Genomic DNA, 16616 nt, shown 5'->3' with positions numbered 1-16616 from the left:
AACTGACTCCATCTTGCTTCTAACCTCCAAGCTGTCCTTGATCATTCCTGGGCATAGACAGAACTAACTTTGGGAGAAACTTAGTTTATAGTTTAAACAAAGATGGTAACAACCCTTTCCCAAAGCAGACCTCCTTCTTTCCTGGGGACTAGTTTGCCTTTATAGGACTAACATTAGCCACAAGATTAGAAATTATGGTTTAGGAGCCATGCAGCTGGTGGCTACAAGATTCTGACCCCCTCCCCGAACTGCTCTAAGATCAGTGCTTGGAATATTTTGCAGACCCTGCACTTGATGGATCAGCTGGCACCGCCCAGATCAATCAACTGGCTCCTTTAATCTTGTGGGCCCCACCCAGGAACTGACTCAGCACAAGAAGACAGCATCAACTCCCTATGATTTCATCCCTGACCAATCAACACTCCTGGCTCGCTGGCTTCCCCCCACCCACCAAGTTATCCTTAAAAACTCTGCTTCCCAAATGCTTGGGAAGACTGATTTGAGTAATAATAAAACTCCAGTCTCCTGCACAGCCAGCTCTGTGTGAATAACTCTTTCTCCATTGCAATTTCCCTGTCTTGATGAATTGGCTCTGTCTAGGCAGCTGGCAAGGTGAACCCCTTGGGCAGTTGCAAATTTTGGGGCTCTTCCAGGATTGCCCTTGTGGCTACCTGCCCCTGGTTCAGTGGCCCCTCTTCAGCAATGGATCCAGAAGCCAGCCCAAGTGGCCACCTAGTTCTCTTGGACTAGGGGCTGACTCTGATACTCGCTCTACTGGCAGGGCACTGCTGACCCAATGTTCATGGATTTAATTGCAGAGGAGGAATAGTCCTGGGGAGATGTCCCTTAACTGTAGCCCTATCACAGGATGTCTGTCTGTAGCCCCATGGTGGGGTGTCTGTCTGTAGCCCCATTATGGGATGTCTAGATTGGTGAGTATCCTAGGTGCTGCCAATGCCTCCTTTCTTCCCCAACTGGTTCTATAGCCCTGTGGTGTGGTGTCTGTAGCCCCATTGAGGGTTGTCTGTTTGTAGCTCCACCATGGGGTGTCTGTGTCTGTAGCCCCATTGTGGGGTATTTGTTTGACTCCTGGGGGTGTCTTGGTTGGTTCTAACTGGTAGAGTCTTGGTTTGGGAGACTTCTCAACAGGAAGATTTCAAGGCGCTTTCTCAGACGGAGAATAGGACGATAGTTTGGAAGGGATACTCTTGGAGTTCTTGGTTAGGGATCTGATTTGGAAGGCCTTCTGTCTGTCTCATCTTTGTGTGTGTTTGTGTATGTGGAAGGGATCTCAGAGGGGTTGCTGATGGAAGTCCAGCAGGTCTAACTCAGAGAACGCTCCTTATTTGTCTGCTCACATTCGATAAGCCCTAAAGGCCTGTCTCTTGGGGTGACTATCTGCTTTTCGCCTTGCCCAGAGACCCCATTGTGAATTACTTTTCAGAAGTCACCTCCCCCCACCTGGAGTAGATCAAAGACAACAGGGACCAAAGGGAAAAAATTTGAGCTTTCCCAGGCTGATATTGGGTGCTGAATGAGGTGACTAATGTTTGTTTTGTTATGTGTGTTTTGCTGGGATGGAAAATGTTAATTTGGTCCCCATGCAGCCCGTTGGGCAGCATCTTGCAAATTAAGAATCTTGCCTATGGTTCCATAAAATGGTAAAGGGTGATTTTCTCTTGTAAAGTGGCTTGAACCCCACAGCTATAGCACGAGCAAGCAGGGTCATCAGAAGCCACTCCGTTCTTCTAGAAGTTGCAGAGAAAGGGAACCCGGAAACCTAATATGCCACCAAAAAGGGTAAGAAATTCTTACCAGCCAAGTTTCTAGTCTCTCTATCTCTTTCTGTGTCTGGGTAAACAGTAAATGTCACTATTTGTCTCTCTGCAAGGATTTGATTAATAGAAAAAGGATTTGTGAGACTAGTCTTAGGCAGTAGCAAATCTGGTGTACTTTGTGCTAAGAATTTGTCTTTCTGGTACTGTAATGGAGAGAGGGGTATCACAGGATAGAATGTGGGTTTAGGACCCCTATAAGCCCACTTTTCAAGCCAGCCTGGCAGGCTGCTCAGTTACAAACTTTGCTGCAGGTCTCTGAAACCCATACCGGATGAAATTTCTTTGTCTTGTTTTGTGTCCTTAAGAGTTTAACCTTATGACCATGTGTGGATACTTTCTCTTGGTTTCCACCATCCAGAGGACAGGAATTTTGAGATTCATGTTAGCCCTAAAAATTATCTTGAGCAGTTAAAAGCCTTTGCAAGCTTGAAATTGGCTTCTCTAGGCTCCTTCTGAGAAGAGCAATAGAAACTGCTCAATGCTGTAACTCAGTAGCTGAGGCTTTGCTTTTTGACAATGGCAGCCTGAGTTCTATTCTTGGCTTCCGGAATAATTCCTTTCTGGTTTTTTATTTATATAACTTTGCCATTTATTGAGGTTCCCCCGCCCTCCGCCGCCCCACCATGGATAGCTTCTGATTTCCTGTCTTGAATTTTCCTTTCTCTAAACTACCTTGGGGGAGATTCTAAATCTTGTAAAAAAAAGAAACTGCTTACCATCTCCTTGAGACATCTATGTGTCCATGGTTAATTTATAACCTTAGTTAAAACTGATTAATTTCATGTGGGAAGTTACCTGTGGTAGAATTCAAAAGCCAAAAATTGATCGCTTAGTGTGGCTAAATTCTGGTAATAAAAAAATTGTAAAGGATATTTTTTAAGAGTGCTATGGTTAAAAATCAGCTGAATTTAAAGCGGATAAACAAGCTATAGGTATCTTTAAAAGGCCCTTATGTATTTCTCTTCTTGGAATTTGTTTTTCTGGAACAAGATTTTTCCTTCTCAGTCGACTGTATTATTTTTCTCTATTTTTTTTTGTCTTGCCTCTCTTAATGCACACATGAGAGGCCCTACGATAACTTCTGGTAGCCTGGGACTCCTTGGGAAAAACAGAGGAGGTGCCACAGACCCCATTTTGGAGGAAAAAACACCCTCTGTTTTCCTCACGAAACCCCAGGAATTAAAAGTGGATAGATACCTCTCAAAATCAAAGGCTCTGTTCTGTTTTGCATTGTGTTATCCGATGGTTTTGAGTTTTGGAGGTATCAGAAATTATTTCACATTATGATAACTAGGTAGGAAATATACCTTAGGGGGTGGCTAATAGTAGTTGTGGAGGGATACTTGACTCTGCACACCTGGATCAGAGACGCACGCTCTCGGCCACCTGGAAGATAAGGAGGCATCCCCACCCCCTACTGGGAGATGAGACTCCTGTGAGAGATGGGCCGTTTACAAAATGGGCTGATTGGCTTTGGGTTGCCTTGAATGGAATGCAGGGTAGAAGCACTGCACGGTCTTCTCCCGCAGTATTGCCCTCCTGCTGGGGATCCAGGATCCAGTATAAAATGGCACCCTTAATTTTGGAGATCTGTCTTTGCCTTCAACTGCTTATTTGCTGCTTATTTGGCTCTAGAAATGCATGCTTTCCCGGCCCTGTTCCTCCAAGGGCTCCACCCTAAAGCCAGTCACCCAATTAAGAAACTGGCAGAGGAAAAATCTTACAAGTGCTGAATCTTCTGTCTGTTTGTATTCATATGTGTTGTGTGTGTGTGTGTGTGTGTGTGTGTGTGTGTGTGAGATGTTTGTATAAAAGAGCTCTGGTTAATTGGCTTAGAAAAATAAGCACTTAAATATTTTGTCAGAAAAATAGAAACTAATGCCTTTTGGTTCATGTGACTTTAGTAATCTTTCAGAAATAAAGACAGTTTTAAAAATTACCAGTAAAATAAAATGTCTTGAAAACGTAGACATTTGGTCTAAATTAAGGTCAGATATCAGATTTGCTAAATGCTTTAAGGTCCAACTGTTTCTTTGACTTTTGAAAATTGTTTGATTTACTACTTTGGAGCATTAGGTGATAGATAAGGCCTGGGGACATATGGAGAGCCAGGCCCTCCAGCTATGCTAACAGCCAGACCTTATCTTCACTTCCGTCAGATGTCATAGGCTCCACCCCAGTACATAATTAAAATCACTTACCAGGTTTTTCACTAAAAATAAAAGTTGCTAAGATTTAACATTGTAACATGTAGTTGAGACCACTGGAGAAACAGTTTTACATACAAGGTTTGTGGGGAGTGTGTTTTTGGTAAAAGATGATAAGAAGGCATGGGAATATGGCTTTTGTTAAAGGGAATGTAATTTTGTGTAGTTTAGGGGGTTTTCAAGATTGTCTTAACCTAAAAGAGTAATGGAACAAAACTGAAGGTTTAAGCAAAGGGAAAAGGGTTTGTAAAGGGTTAATCTTATTAAAAAATTCTGTGAGTATACACAAGTTGGCTAAGATTTAAAAGAAATTATTTAGCTTTTTTCTGTAGGTTAAAACATTAAAATGATACTGTTGTGGGGCCAGAATCTGGGCCCATCTGTCCTAATGACAGGGTGTTCTTAGAAAACTGATCTGCTGTTTGATGGAAAATTGTAAAGGGTTCTAAAAAGTTTATGAACTTCTTGGTGGGGTGTGGTGGCTCACGCCTGTAATCCCAGCACTTCGGGAGGCCAAGGCGGGTAGATCATGAGGTCAGGAGATCAAGACCAACCTGGCTAACAAGGTGAAACCCCATCTCTACTAAAAATACAAAAAATTAGCCACGTGTGGTGGTGGGCACCCATAGTCCCAGCTACTCGGGAGGCTGAGGCAGGAGAATGGCGTGAACCCAGAAGGCGGAGGTTGCAGTGAGCCAAGATCGCACAACTGCACTCCAGCCTGGGCAACAGAGAGAGATTCCGTCTCAAAAAAAAAAATACTCGATAAAGATATAAAATTTTATTTAAAAAACTACCTTTAACATTAAAGATGTACTAATGCAAAAATGAAATTTGGTTTTATCTTTTGAAGATGATTTTTATGTAATGTTAAAAGATAATGAAAGGGCTTTGTTTTCTCCTTTGGGTAAATGGCAGGGAAAAAAGGGAGGAGAGAGAAGAGACAAATGCAGTTAGCCTCATGCTATCATTACTGGGTCTTGTTTGGAAAGCTAAGTCTCCTCTATCAGAGTAAAGGTTTTTTTTTTTTAATTTTTTTGGAGTTATCATTTTGGCCAGATGAATGACTTATGGAGACTTGGGATTCTATTTTGTGATATCCAGTGTTTTAAACCTTTGATATATGACAAACTTTCCCAAATCAAATTATAAATTTTGTCTCTTTCTAACCTAATATTTGAAATATTAGGTCCTCTAAAGTCCAAAAATGACATTTGGCTTATTTGGTACAAAAATCATGCAGGAAGCATTGTCAAGTATGAAAAGGTGTTTGGCTTTCTTTGGTCTATATTTGTGTAAATGTGTTATTGGTATATGTTCCAAAATTATGTGAAATTGCTATAATTCTAATATGACTTAGTATATGTTATCTGTAATAATTATAATTATTATGTTAAATGACTGTGTGCCACAGAGGTAAATTTCCTTGTCAATTGTGCCTTTAACTGTGGCTACCCTAAAATGTTTTTGTCATCCACAGACAATTGTTGTCTCACTTTGCTCCTCTTTAAAGGATCATTTTATAATCAGCTATAAAATTTAACAGGTGCTCTTTGAGATGGAGTTTCTCTCTTGTTGCCCAGGCTGGAGTGCAATGGCACGATCTCAGCTCACTGCAATCTCCACCTCTCAGGTTCAAGTGATTCTCCTTCCTCAGCCTCCCAAGTAACTGGGATTACAGGCATGCACCACCACATCTGGCTAATTTTGTAGTTTTAGTAGAGACAGGGTTTCACCATGTTGGCCAGGCTGGTTTCAAACTCCTAACCTCAGGTGATCTGCCTGCCTCGGCCTCCCAAAGTGCTGGGATTACAAGCATGAGCCACTGCACCTGGCCCAGGTGCTCTTAAATACGGGTTTCTGATAAATAACTCTGGGAGTTTGTGACATTAGGATAGAAAAAAAACTTTCAAATAGAAGAGTGAATGGTGTTTGGTTTTCTTGGACTGTATTTGTATAAATATGTTATTGGTATGTGGTCCACAACTATAGGAAACTTCTATAATGTTGATATAATTTAGTGTACATTATCAATAATTATAATTGTTATGTAAAATTGTTGTATTCCACAGAAGTAACCAAATTTCCTAGTCAATTGTAGCTTTAATAGTGCCTATAGACTTTTGTCACCCACAGACATTTTGCCTTGCTTTGGTCCTTTTCAAAAGGCAATTTATAATCAGATATAAGACTCTGAGTGCAGCTCTCAGATAACTTTAAAAATTGTGCTGTTGGAATAGAGGAAAAAAACCAAACTTCTAGGATTCTCATGGAGAGCTAATGTGTTAAACACTGCTAAACCTTTTGTTTTTGGAGTCAAGAGAACTTATTTCTTTAGAGCTATTTGCAACTTTTAACAAGTGAGTAAAATACACTCCTATGAACAAAATTTGAAGCATATTTGTTCCTCTCTACCTGATTTCTCCAGAATTTGGAAACTATTTGTGAGTATTCTCAATTTATGGCAGTATAGTTAATTGCATAAGTGCAATAAGAATCAGTTTTCTTTTGTAACAGGACACAATTGGAGAAATTGGTTGTTTTACCAAGGCTTTGACTGGAATGGCATGCTTCCTTTAAAGAATCAAAGTTGACTTATAGCACCAATTAAAGCCCATTGGGGCATCTGGCCTCATACCTTGTCCACACAGAGTACCTGTACAAGATTTCTGACCTGTGGTAAGTAAAGAATGTCACTTTCTAACAGGCCCAGAAATCCCAAGTTACCTTGGAACCTCAAAAGGAGAGGAATTTGCCAAACTCATAGGTATTTGAGGGTACAAACCCATGGCTAGGCTCAGCTTTTAAAAAGTCTTATCTGAGATTCTTCATGGAACAGAGTTCTATCAAAGCCAACTTAAAAAGCCTAAGTGAAAAATAATTATTCTTGCTGTACTTTATGCAAATAGTCAAGCCAAGTACAGTATTATTTTGTAAACAAATCAGTTCTATCATGATTTGTCTTTAATAAAAATGGAGACTGGAGAGAGAAAAATTATGCTTCAAAAGAAAACTATAGTGCATTGTCGTTAACTGTTCTTGAGGTTTTTTCTGCAGTATAGACTAAATTCTAAATTCTTTGTGGTTTAGAAGTCCCCAAACTAATGCTTTCAAATCTTTGCTTTTAAAATTGGGAATTGTACTTCTAATCCTAGGACTCATTATTACCTTATAGTAGGCTGTTCACTTAAACATTGTAGTAAAACTATAGATGAGAGCACTAATGTTTTTCCCACACAAGCCTTGGAAGCCCAGCCAGGCCTGCATGAGTACACTCAGACAGTTAGAAAGCGGTTCCACTTTTCTCACCTTGGCATTCACTCCCATTCCCACTACGTCCCCTATCAGCAGGAAGAAGCCAGAGTGATCGACGGCCTTTTCTCATCCTTATAGCCTACACCTTAAGATTAAGGTGTTATAAACCCCAAAGGGAAGGATTGAAACCACCTTTGCAAAATCGACTCCATCTTGCTTCTAACCTCCAAGCTGTCCTTGTTCATTCCTGGGCATAGACAGAACTAACTTTGGGAGAAACTTAGTTTATAGTTTAAACAAAAACAGTCACAACCCTTTCCCAAAGCAGATCTCCTTCTTGCCTGGGGACTAGATTGCCTTTGTAGGACTAACAGCCACAAGATTCGAAATTATGATTTAGGAGTCATGCAGCTGGAGGCCTCAAGATTCTGACCCTCCCTAAACTACTCCTAAGATCAGCGCTTGAGATATTTTGCAGACCCTGCACTTGATGGATCAGCTGGCACTGCCCAGATCAATAAACTGGCTCTTCTGATCTTGTGGCCTCCACCCAGGAACTGAGTCAGCACAAGAAGACAGCATCAACTCCCTATGATTTCATCCCTGACCAGTCACCACTCCTGGCTCACTGGCTCACCCCACCCACCAAGTTATCCTTGAAAACTCTGCTCCCCAAATGCTCAGGGAGACTGATTTGAGTAATAATAAAACTCCAGTCTCTCACACAGCAGGCTCTGCATGAATTACTCTTTCTCTATTGCAATTCCCCTGTCTTGATGAATCGGCTCTGTCTAGGCAGTGGCAAGGTGAACCCCTTGGGTGGTTACATCAGGTGGGCAGCAGGAGACTCGGGAGCCAGGCTTCTGGTTTGCCTCCACCTCCAAGACCTTGGCCAAATCCTTCTACTTCTCTGAACCTCAGTTTCCTCTTCTAAAATAAGAAAATGTTGGCTGGGCGCGGTGGCTCACACCTGTGATCCTGCACTTTGGGAGGCCAAGGCGGGTGGATCACGAGGTCAGGAGATGGAGACCATCCTGTGAACACGGTGAAACCCCGTCTCTACTAAAAATACAAAAAAATTAGCTGGGCGTGGTGGCACATGCCTGTAGTCCCAGCTACTCAGGAGGCTGAGGCAGGAGAATCTCTGGAATCCAGGAGGCAGAGATTGCAGTGAGCCGAGATTGTGCCACTGCACCCCAGCCTGGGCAACACAGCGAGATTCCATCTCAAAAAAAAATTTTTTTAAATAAAATAAAAAAAATAAATTAAACAAGAAAATGTTGAGTTAGTGAGTGTTTTCACCCCAGATCATGGTGCCTATAAGCAAATGGGGTGGGGAGAAAAGCTGGGTTTCACAGACACAGCAGATGGAAGGCTTAGGAGAGGAGCAGGCTCAGGTGGCAGCTTGGACTCTCAAGTGCTGTGATCCCTCACCTGAATCTTCATCGTCCTTGTCCACACGTCCTCCCTCCCCACCCTAGGTCTGTAGCCTGGACCAGGCTTCTCATTCCTGATCAAAGACACAGGTAGCCGAGGAGAATCCCCAGGAAAGGAGTTCACAACCCGGGTCCTCTCTCACCTCCCTCCTCCATCACCCAGAAGCCACCTCAACTCAACTGACATGTGGGGCGCTGGCCCTGGGCACTGCTCGGGGATGCTAGATCACACAGTCCCACCTTCATCCACCCCCAACCTCCTGCCCCTTCCAAGTCAGAGCAGAGCACCAGGAGGGCTAACCTGCTTAGCACTCAGCTCCCCAGCCCCCTTCCCAGCCCTTCTGCCCCCACTCACCTCGCTAGTGTGTTTACTTAAGGCTGAATTCTATATCTGGAAGTTCATTAATTTTTTGTGGGTGCCAAAATGCAGATCATTTGTGCTTATCCTCAACTAAATAAGTCAGGTCATAAGAGGTAATGCCATGGGTAGTGGAATGTAAACAAACACATTCTACCTCAATAAACATGCTAATTTCCAGCTATAATATTCACAAGTAAAAGATCCATCACGCCGACCCTATTTGGCAAAGGCAGTGGGCCTCATCCGTCAATGAGGGAGGCTCCCGCCAGTTCGCTGCGGGAGGGAAATAGTACAACTTAACTTGCTTGATGACGCCCTCGGGGAGAAACATGAGCCTCATAAATGAGTCTGGAAATGTGATAAAAGGATAATCTTGCATAAATGAGCCTATATCATCATTACCTGCACCAACCAAGGCCAGGCACTAGGTTTTGAGTGATGTAGTCACATTTCATATAAATGAAGGCTGTGGAGTCAGTACACCAGCGGGAGCCCTTTGTCCTGCTACATCCCACTGGCCACCCTAGCCTGAGGCTTCCATGCAGGATTCTGTGGGGCCAGGGGAGGCTTCAGCCCTGGCTGGGCTGAGGCTGGTGGTGTTGGCACAGAGGGCAAGGACAGCCCAGGCCCTACAAGAATATGAGTGCAGCCCTTGATGAATGGGGGACATCAGAGAGGGTCTTTCCCCATTCCATAGAAAAACTAAGGAATCTATTATTTTACTTCCTCAATAATATATATCGGACATCTATTGTAAGCCAAGGCACTGAGCTACAACTTCGAAACCACTCTACCAAAAAAAAAAATGAAGTTCTTGTTTTAATAGTTCCCAGTCAGCTCAGGGAGGCAGAGCACATCCTTGCAGCCAGGTGGGTCTGTGCCTTCCAAATGCAGAAGGCACTCAGAGGAGGGTGCTGTGGTGTGCACGTGTGTTCCCCAAATTTATATATTGAAATCCGAAGCTTCAAGGTGAAGGCATCAGGAGGTGATTAGGTCATGAAGATGGAGCCCTCATTAATGGGATTTAGTGCCTCATAAAACAGGCCCAAGGGAGACCCCTTGCCCCTTCCTTCATTTGAGGTTACAGTGAGAAGACAGCTGTCTACAAGGATGCGGGTCCTCACCAGACGCCAAATCTGCCAGTGCAGATTTGGACTTCCCAGCCTCCAGAACTGTGAGAAATGAACTTCTGCCATTTATTAGCTGCACTGCCTGTGGTATTTTGTTACCACAGCCTGAACCAACTAAGACAGAGGGAAAGATGTGCTGGGCCTGGGAGGGGCAGGGAGGTCAGTTTCACCCGGAGGGTAAATGACAGCAAGACACTCTAGGTGCTGAATGGGGAAGGGCCAGGCCCCCTCCATGCTGCCCCCTCAGACCTGCACCCATCTCCCTAAAGCCCACTCAGTCCATCTTCCCTGGACAGTGGCCCTGCCCCACCCACAGGTATGTGGCTTCTGCTATGTTCCTTGGTCCTTCTCAGTATGCTCAGCAAAAGACAGAAAGATGGGGACAAATTCACAGAACCTTGTATACAGCTTGGGAAAAAATTGGTGGAGTTCTTGATGCTCCTTCCTAATCTTTCCTTGCCCCCTTCCCGTAGTGGATGCTGTGAGTGCCCCACCCAGGCCCCCTATACATGACATGGCCAGGACACCCATCTCTCCACTGCTGCGAGTGTTGGTTGCTAAAGTTCACAGCCATGCTTTTCTGCAGAAAACTGCCTTTGGCCAAAGAGAAGCCACCTCACCTGGAAAGGTACCCCTCCCTGCCCTCTCTGACTCAGTGACACAGGGGTACAGAGGCCAGCCCCCTTGACTGAAGGGACCTGGGGTTCAAGCTCGGAGGGGTAGTTCCTGTCCCAGCATCCCGTGGGGTCAGGCTGAGCTGGACTCCAGCTGAGAGCACATCCTCACTCCCCATCTAGCTCCCCTCACTCCGTTACCCCGAGAAGCCATCCTCAGTAAACCACCTTCTTTGGAATCCCCCATAGCCCATCTTCTCTCTGCTGGGCCCTGCGTGCTCAAGGTGGATGAGGTGGGAAGAGTGTTCGAGGAAGAGGGAAAATCATGTCTTTTAATTTCCAAAGCGCTTTTATAGATCACTTCACAGCAAATAGAAACAAGGATGTCAAACAAAAAGGGCTTCCTTTAGAAGTCCCCAGACCCATCACCAGGGGTGAGGGGTGGCCATGTCCTCTTCCTGCAGTAAATGCTTACTTCGGAAATGAAGGAAAATGTGTAAGTGGGTGAGCAAAATAATTCTGAACATCTCTCCAGCTGACAACATTTTATCCATCCTCTTGTTTCTCTCACGGTGCCTGTTCCCTCATTAGACCAGAAAATCCTTTGCAACAGGGACTGTGGTCATCAGGGAGTCTGTGAGGCCTAGCTCTGCTCTCTGCCCAGAGTGATGCTCAGTGGCTATTCGATGCAGGCACTTGAACTGTCGACTTGAGAGAAGTAGGGGATCATCAAGAGCAGGGAGGATTTGGGTATGTAAAGACCTTCCTTCATTCATTCACCAAATAACGTTGTGATGAGAGAGTAGAATTTGTGACCAAGAAATAAGGAAGAGAGAAAACTAGCGTGCATCTACTGTAGGCAGAAATCATATTAGATGCGTTCATAGGGGGCCACTTAAACCGCCAAATAACCTGGAGGTGGGGATTACTATTGCCATTTGCAGATGAAGAAACTGAGTGGAGACAGAAGTGCAATTGACATCCAGGTGTACCTAGGTTCAGAGTCTCCAGTCTTTTCATCCTTTCTCCCTTCCTTCATCCCCTGGGAGGATATTTTTAAAACAGAGTTGCAGAGACCTGAAATGGGTTAACTAGATCTTTATGGAGGCAAAAGATGGATGGGAAGACCTCTGGATGTCTTTTTCAGCAGAGAATCCTCTGATTCAGGCCACATAGGCCCCTGATGGGTGCTCAGAGGAGCTCTGTTGGGCAAGCCAAGGCCAGCCCTCCTGAGGTGGGTCTGAAACCCTGCCTCCATCTCAACAAGGGAGCTGTGCTCCTAAGGAGTGTATGATTCAGAATCTGTTGTAGGGTTAATTTTCTGAAGGAAAAAAAAAGGTATAAACACTGTTGGAGGACTGGGCTGATGAGCTCATTGGAAACCTGAGCTGCAGAAGTCTTAGTCAAAAATGCTGGCTGAGAAATTGCTGGCCCCTGCCAAGCCGGGCGAATGGAAGTTTGCACATTCCCAGGCTGCGTGTTTCAAATACTTTCCGTGGTTTTGCCAGTGGCGGGCGAGGAGGGAAGAATTTGTCATTATCGACTTGAGTCTGCAAAACAGCTTGGCTGGCAGGGAGCTTTGAAATTGCAGGAGGTGGAAAACCTGACTCATGATCTTTGGGGACTTGGGAATGTGGGTTGTGGGGGAGATGGGAGGAGGGCGAGAGGCGACCAGCCAGGAAAGAGGTGGATCTTTTGACTCAGAATGCATTCTTGCTGCTAATCTCAGCGACTGCCCCCACTCCCTCTGGAGTGAAAGCCCTGTGCAGTTTCCCAAATGTTCTTCATAGGTGCAAACACTTGCTGAGCACCTACTAAGTGCCTTCCATGCGTCCTGCTGAATATCTGAGACAACAACCCAAAGAACTTGGCAGAGTGGACATTTGTACCCATTTTTCTTTTTCTTTTCTTTTCTTTTTTCTTTTTTTTTGAGACAGAGTCTGGCTCAGTCGCCCAGGCTGGAGTGCAGTGGTGCAATCTCAGCTCACTGCAACCTCCGCCTCCTGGGTTCAAGCGATTCTCCTGCCTCAGCCTCCCCAGTTGCTGGGATTACAGGCACATGTCACCACGCCCGGCTAATTTTTGTATTTTTGGTAGAGACGGGGTTTCGCCATGTTGGCCAGGCTGATCTCGAACTCCTGACTTCAAGTGATCTGCCTGCCTCGGCCTCTCAAACTGCTGGAATTACAGGTGTGAGCCACCGAGGCTGACCCTGCACCCATTTTTCAAATGAGGGAACGGTTAAGAAGGTGTAGGAATTGCCCCATGCCACACAGCAACTGGCCAAGATGTCAGTTCATCTGCGTGTTGAGGGCCTACCTTGTGCTGGGCACTGGGTCAAGGACTGGGGTGGAAACATGGAGATGACAAGGCCTTTTTCTGTGAAGAGCTGAAAGTTTCACAGATTTGAACCATTTGGTGTTTTTTTTTTATTCTCAAGACATTCGTATCTGCTGCCAAAGTGCTATTACTAAGCCATGTGAGGGAGGACAGGCAAGGAGGATGCAGAGCCTGGACTCTCCCAGGGGAAAGGAGACAAGAAGAGAAACATGGTGGCAGGAGGAGCCCTGGCTGATGAGTCAGGGGACCTGGCTTCTCAGTGTGGCCTGTTGCTAACTGGTAGTGCAACCCAGGAAATGCCACTGGTGCCCCTTCGGGTCTTAGTGTGTGGGGAATACACTCTCCATGCCAGGCCGGCCTCCCTTTGGAAGCGCTGTTTCCTATGCACAGCTGCCCTCATGCCAATGGCAAGCCCCTGCCACTCTGCCTGAGCACCTTTCCTGGCTGCAGGAGGAGGCTGCCCCCAAGGTGGGGCTGGCCAGAAATGCTGGAAAGTTCAAGCTCCCCAGAGCAACCCTCAACAAAAGACAGATAAGAATTGGGGGCTGAAGACCCCGGCCTCCTCTCCCTGGGACAGGATGACTCTGAAGACATGTGTTCCACGCGTCCCGGGGCTCCCTGGAGGCACGAGCCCCAGCTGCTCATGGTGGCACCTGCTCCTGGGGCACCCTGCATTCTCTCCTTGCCATCCCTCGCTCACATCCCTACTGGGGCTTCCTGGGACCCCTCCCAAATGAACTCCTTGCACTCAGATCCTTGTTTCAGGCTCTGCTTCTTGGGGAGCCACACTCATTTGGGGAGCCAAGTTATTTATTTGTCTGTAATGGGGAGTCCAGTCTGGAAGGGGCTTCAGCCATCTCCAGCTACCACCCCATTATTGTCTAGAAAGCACGACGGAGGCCCAGAAAGGAGAAACTGCTGACTCCCTTATTGTGACTCTCTCCACCCTGTCCCCAGGCCTCCAGGAGAGCAGCGCAGAGCCCCACTGCCCCCACCTCCAGCCAGGGGCAAGGCTCAGGGCAGGTGCCCAGGGGACAGGAAAGCATAGATTGTGGAGCACCAACATGGGGTGCTCTGGGCTCTGAATGCCCTGTTGACCCCTACCCAAAGCTTAACTGGCCTCTCAGATGCCCCAAGGTGAGGGGCTTTGGAGGGGAACCGCAGAGGAGAGCAGGAAGCCAGTGGGGCCTGAGGGCCAAAGAGCCTTCACTTGGCCTGGCTGCCACCCGCCTTCCCCTGCCCCACTCCTGCCATGCGCATCACATACTAGGGCTAAGCCATCAACTGCCTTCTGCTCTCCTGCTCATGCCATTCCCTCTAGCTGGGGTGTGCTCCCGCCCCTCCCCTCACAAACTCCTTCAAAAAGGAGCTCTGGCTTCTTCCGTTCTGCATGGCCTACCCCGACATCTCCCCTGCCGTCCCCATCAGGACCAACTCACCTCCTCCTGTCCCTTCCTGAGCTCCAGAAGACCCCCAGCACTGCCCCCAGGACATAGTCTATGGGGGACCATTGTCGAGGAGTCTGTCTCCCACAGGTGACCCAAAGCTCTCCGAGGGCAGTACTCAGCCTCATTTATCTTTTTATCCTCAGATCCTAGCTTATATAGCCCTGGAAATGTTTGTTCAATGAAGACGTGCAGGAAAATGACTCAACTCTTATTGAGACCCCAGCATCACTGTCATTCCCCACCCTTGTTGTCTCCTTTTCCTTCGCCAGTCTCCACAGAGACAATACAGTGAACAAGAGAAGGGCCCACCCAGCCAGGCCCAGTGGGAGAAGCAGCGGTCCCACCACCAGGGCAGGTGCCCAGCGGACAGGAGAGCACAGACTTAACCGGCAGGGAGTCTGCAGGGAGACCAAGGCCAGAAATATGGGACCCCAGTGCGGATGGGGTCTCTATTCTGCTGGGTTGTGTAGTCTCAGGGGCCTCCATTCATGAGTAGAGGCATGCGATGAAGTGGCCCCGTGACAGAGACCTTCTTGGGACAGCTTTGTAGGAGTACAGTCCTTTTAAAAGCTTTTCTAGCCAATGGGATGCAAATGAAATCCTTCTTAAAAGTTCGATATGGAAATATTGTCGTAGTTGATGTGAGGAACTATGGGGGAAAGCTTTCAGGCTTTCTCAACAACCCCTTATTCAAACCACACTGGGAGTCCCCTGGGGTTCCACGGAGCTGTTTAGAAACCCCTGGCCAAGTGGGGAGAAGCTGGATTCTGTCTGGGGATCCAGGTTCTAGTTTCCCTCTGCTACTTCCAGGCTGTGTAACCTTGGAAACCTCACTTGTCTGGGCCTCAGTTTCCTCATCCTCACAGTGGAGAAGACAGGCTCTCCCTCCCAGGCTCAAAGGTGATGACCAAGGTTGTACCTTTTTATGGTCAAACATAGATTTTATCATCAGGAGGCCCAGAAGGACATGAGACATTTTATGTCCTCTTGAACCAGGACTTCTTGGAGGCACCAGGCTCGGGGCTGCGGAACACATGCTGCTGCCTCTTGACTGTCTTTCTTCTCAGGGTTTCAGGCCCTGAGTGCTCATGAGGCACCTCCTTGCCCCAGACCTCATTACCCAGCCAGCTGGGCCCTCATACAGTCATTGTTCCTCTTCCCTGGGTGTGGAGCTGCCACATGCCAGCATGGAAAATTCCTTCTTTCCCTGCTTTGCAGTCAAACCCCAGCCAAACCCCAGTCCCATCCTGGGACGGTGGACCCCTAAAGGGAAATGGAGGCAGAGTATTCTGGCTCCAGGAATCAGCTAATGGAACCTTGTTAATTACTATGTAAATTATTTTAATAGCCTGGATCCCCCTCAGACAATTGTTTAGGGGCTTGAGGCCTGAGACTGGGGAGCCAGAGGGAGATGGGGGTCTCCGCTGAGGGAGGGGCGCAGCATTTCCTTGGCCCAAGAGATCCCTTTTATGGTTCCCCATGGGTGGGGGTGGAGGCACAGTGGCAACCTGAGGGAAGGATGAGTTCCAACCTGACCCTAGCCCATGGGGATCCTGGATGTGACACGGAGGTGCAGGCGTCAAGTCCATCCTTGAAGGCTGGAACTGAAAAGGACCTCAGATGATCTCTAGCCACTCCCACCCCTCACTGTGTCTAGGGAGAAACAGAAGCCCAGAGCAGGTGAGTGACTTGTCCAAAGTCACACAGCAGGGTAATGGCCAAGCAGGGGCTGGAACCCTAGTTTCCTATCTCCGGCCCAGGAGTTCTCAAACTGGGCACCCGTGGAACACATTGCCCCTGGGTGTCCTGCCTGGAGCATCATTTGGTGAGATTTCACCCAGTTTATAGAGAAAAAATTAAAGTGAAAGGGAAGCATTTTCTTGATTTCTGTGTGTAATTTTTAAATAAGATACCCCACAGATATGATATGTAGTCATATTTTCTTCCACAAATTTGTTCTTTTTTAAACTATGGTATTAATTTTGTA

The 16616-nt window shown here is 46.5% G+C and overlaps 2 annotated features.

Moving 5' to 3' along the window:
- Nucleotides 7220-8419: an enhancer, noted in NCBI's record as "CDK7 strongly-dependent group 2 enhancer chr15:67179855-67181054 (GRCh37/hg19 assembly coordinates)". NCBI's record gives its function as "activates an origin of replication core promoter dependent on BRD2, BRD4, P300/CBP, MED14 and CDK7 cofactors, with strong dependence on CDK7, by STARR-seq in HCT116 cells {active_cell/tissue: HCT116}" and the evidence as "EXISTENCE:reporter gene assay evidence [ECO:0000049][PMID:35650434]".
- Nucleotides 12170-12685: an enhancer, noted in NCBI's record as "H3K27ac-H3K4me1 hESC enhancer chr15:67175589-67176104 (GRCh37/hg19 assembly coordinates)". NCBI's record gives its function as "activates a minimal SCP1, AML or CMV promoter by ChIP-STARR-seq in naive H9 embryonic stem cells {active_cell/tissue: H9 hESC(naive)}" and the evidence as "EXISTENCE:reporter gene assay evidence [ECO:0000049][PMID:30033119]".

This window comes from Homo sapiens, chromosome 15 (assembly GCF_000001405.40).
Source record: "Homo sapiens chromosome 15, GRCh38.p14 Primary Assembly".
NCBI classification, from domain to species: Eukaryota; Metazoa; Chordata; class Mammalia; order Primates; family Hominidae; genus Homo; species Homo sapiens.
The sequence above is the reverse complement of the archived record's forward strand: the minus strand, read 5'-3'. Positions and strand labels throughout refer to the sequence as shown.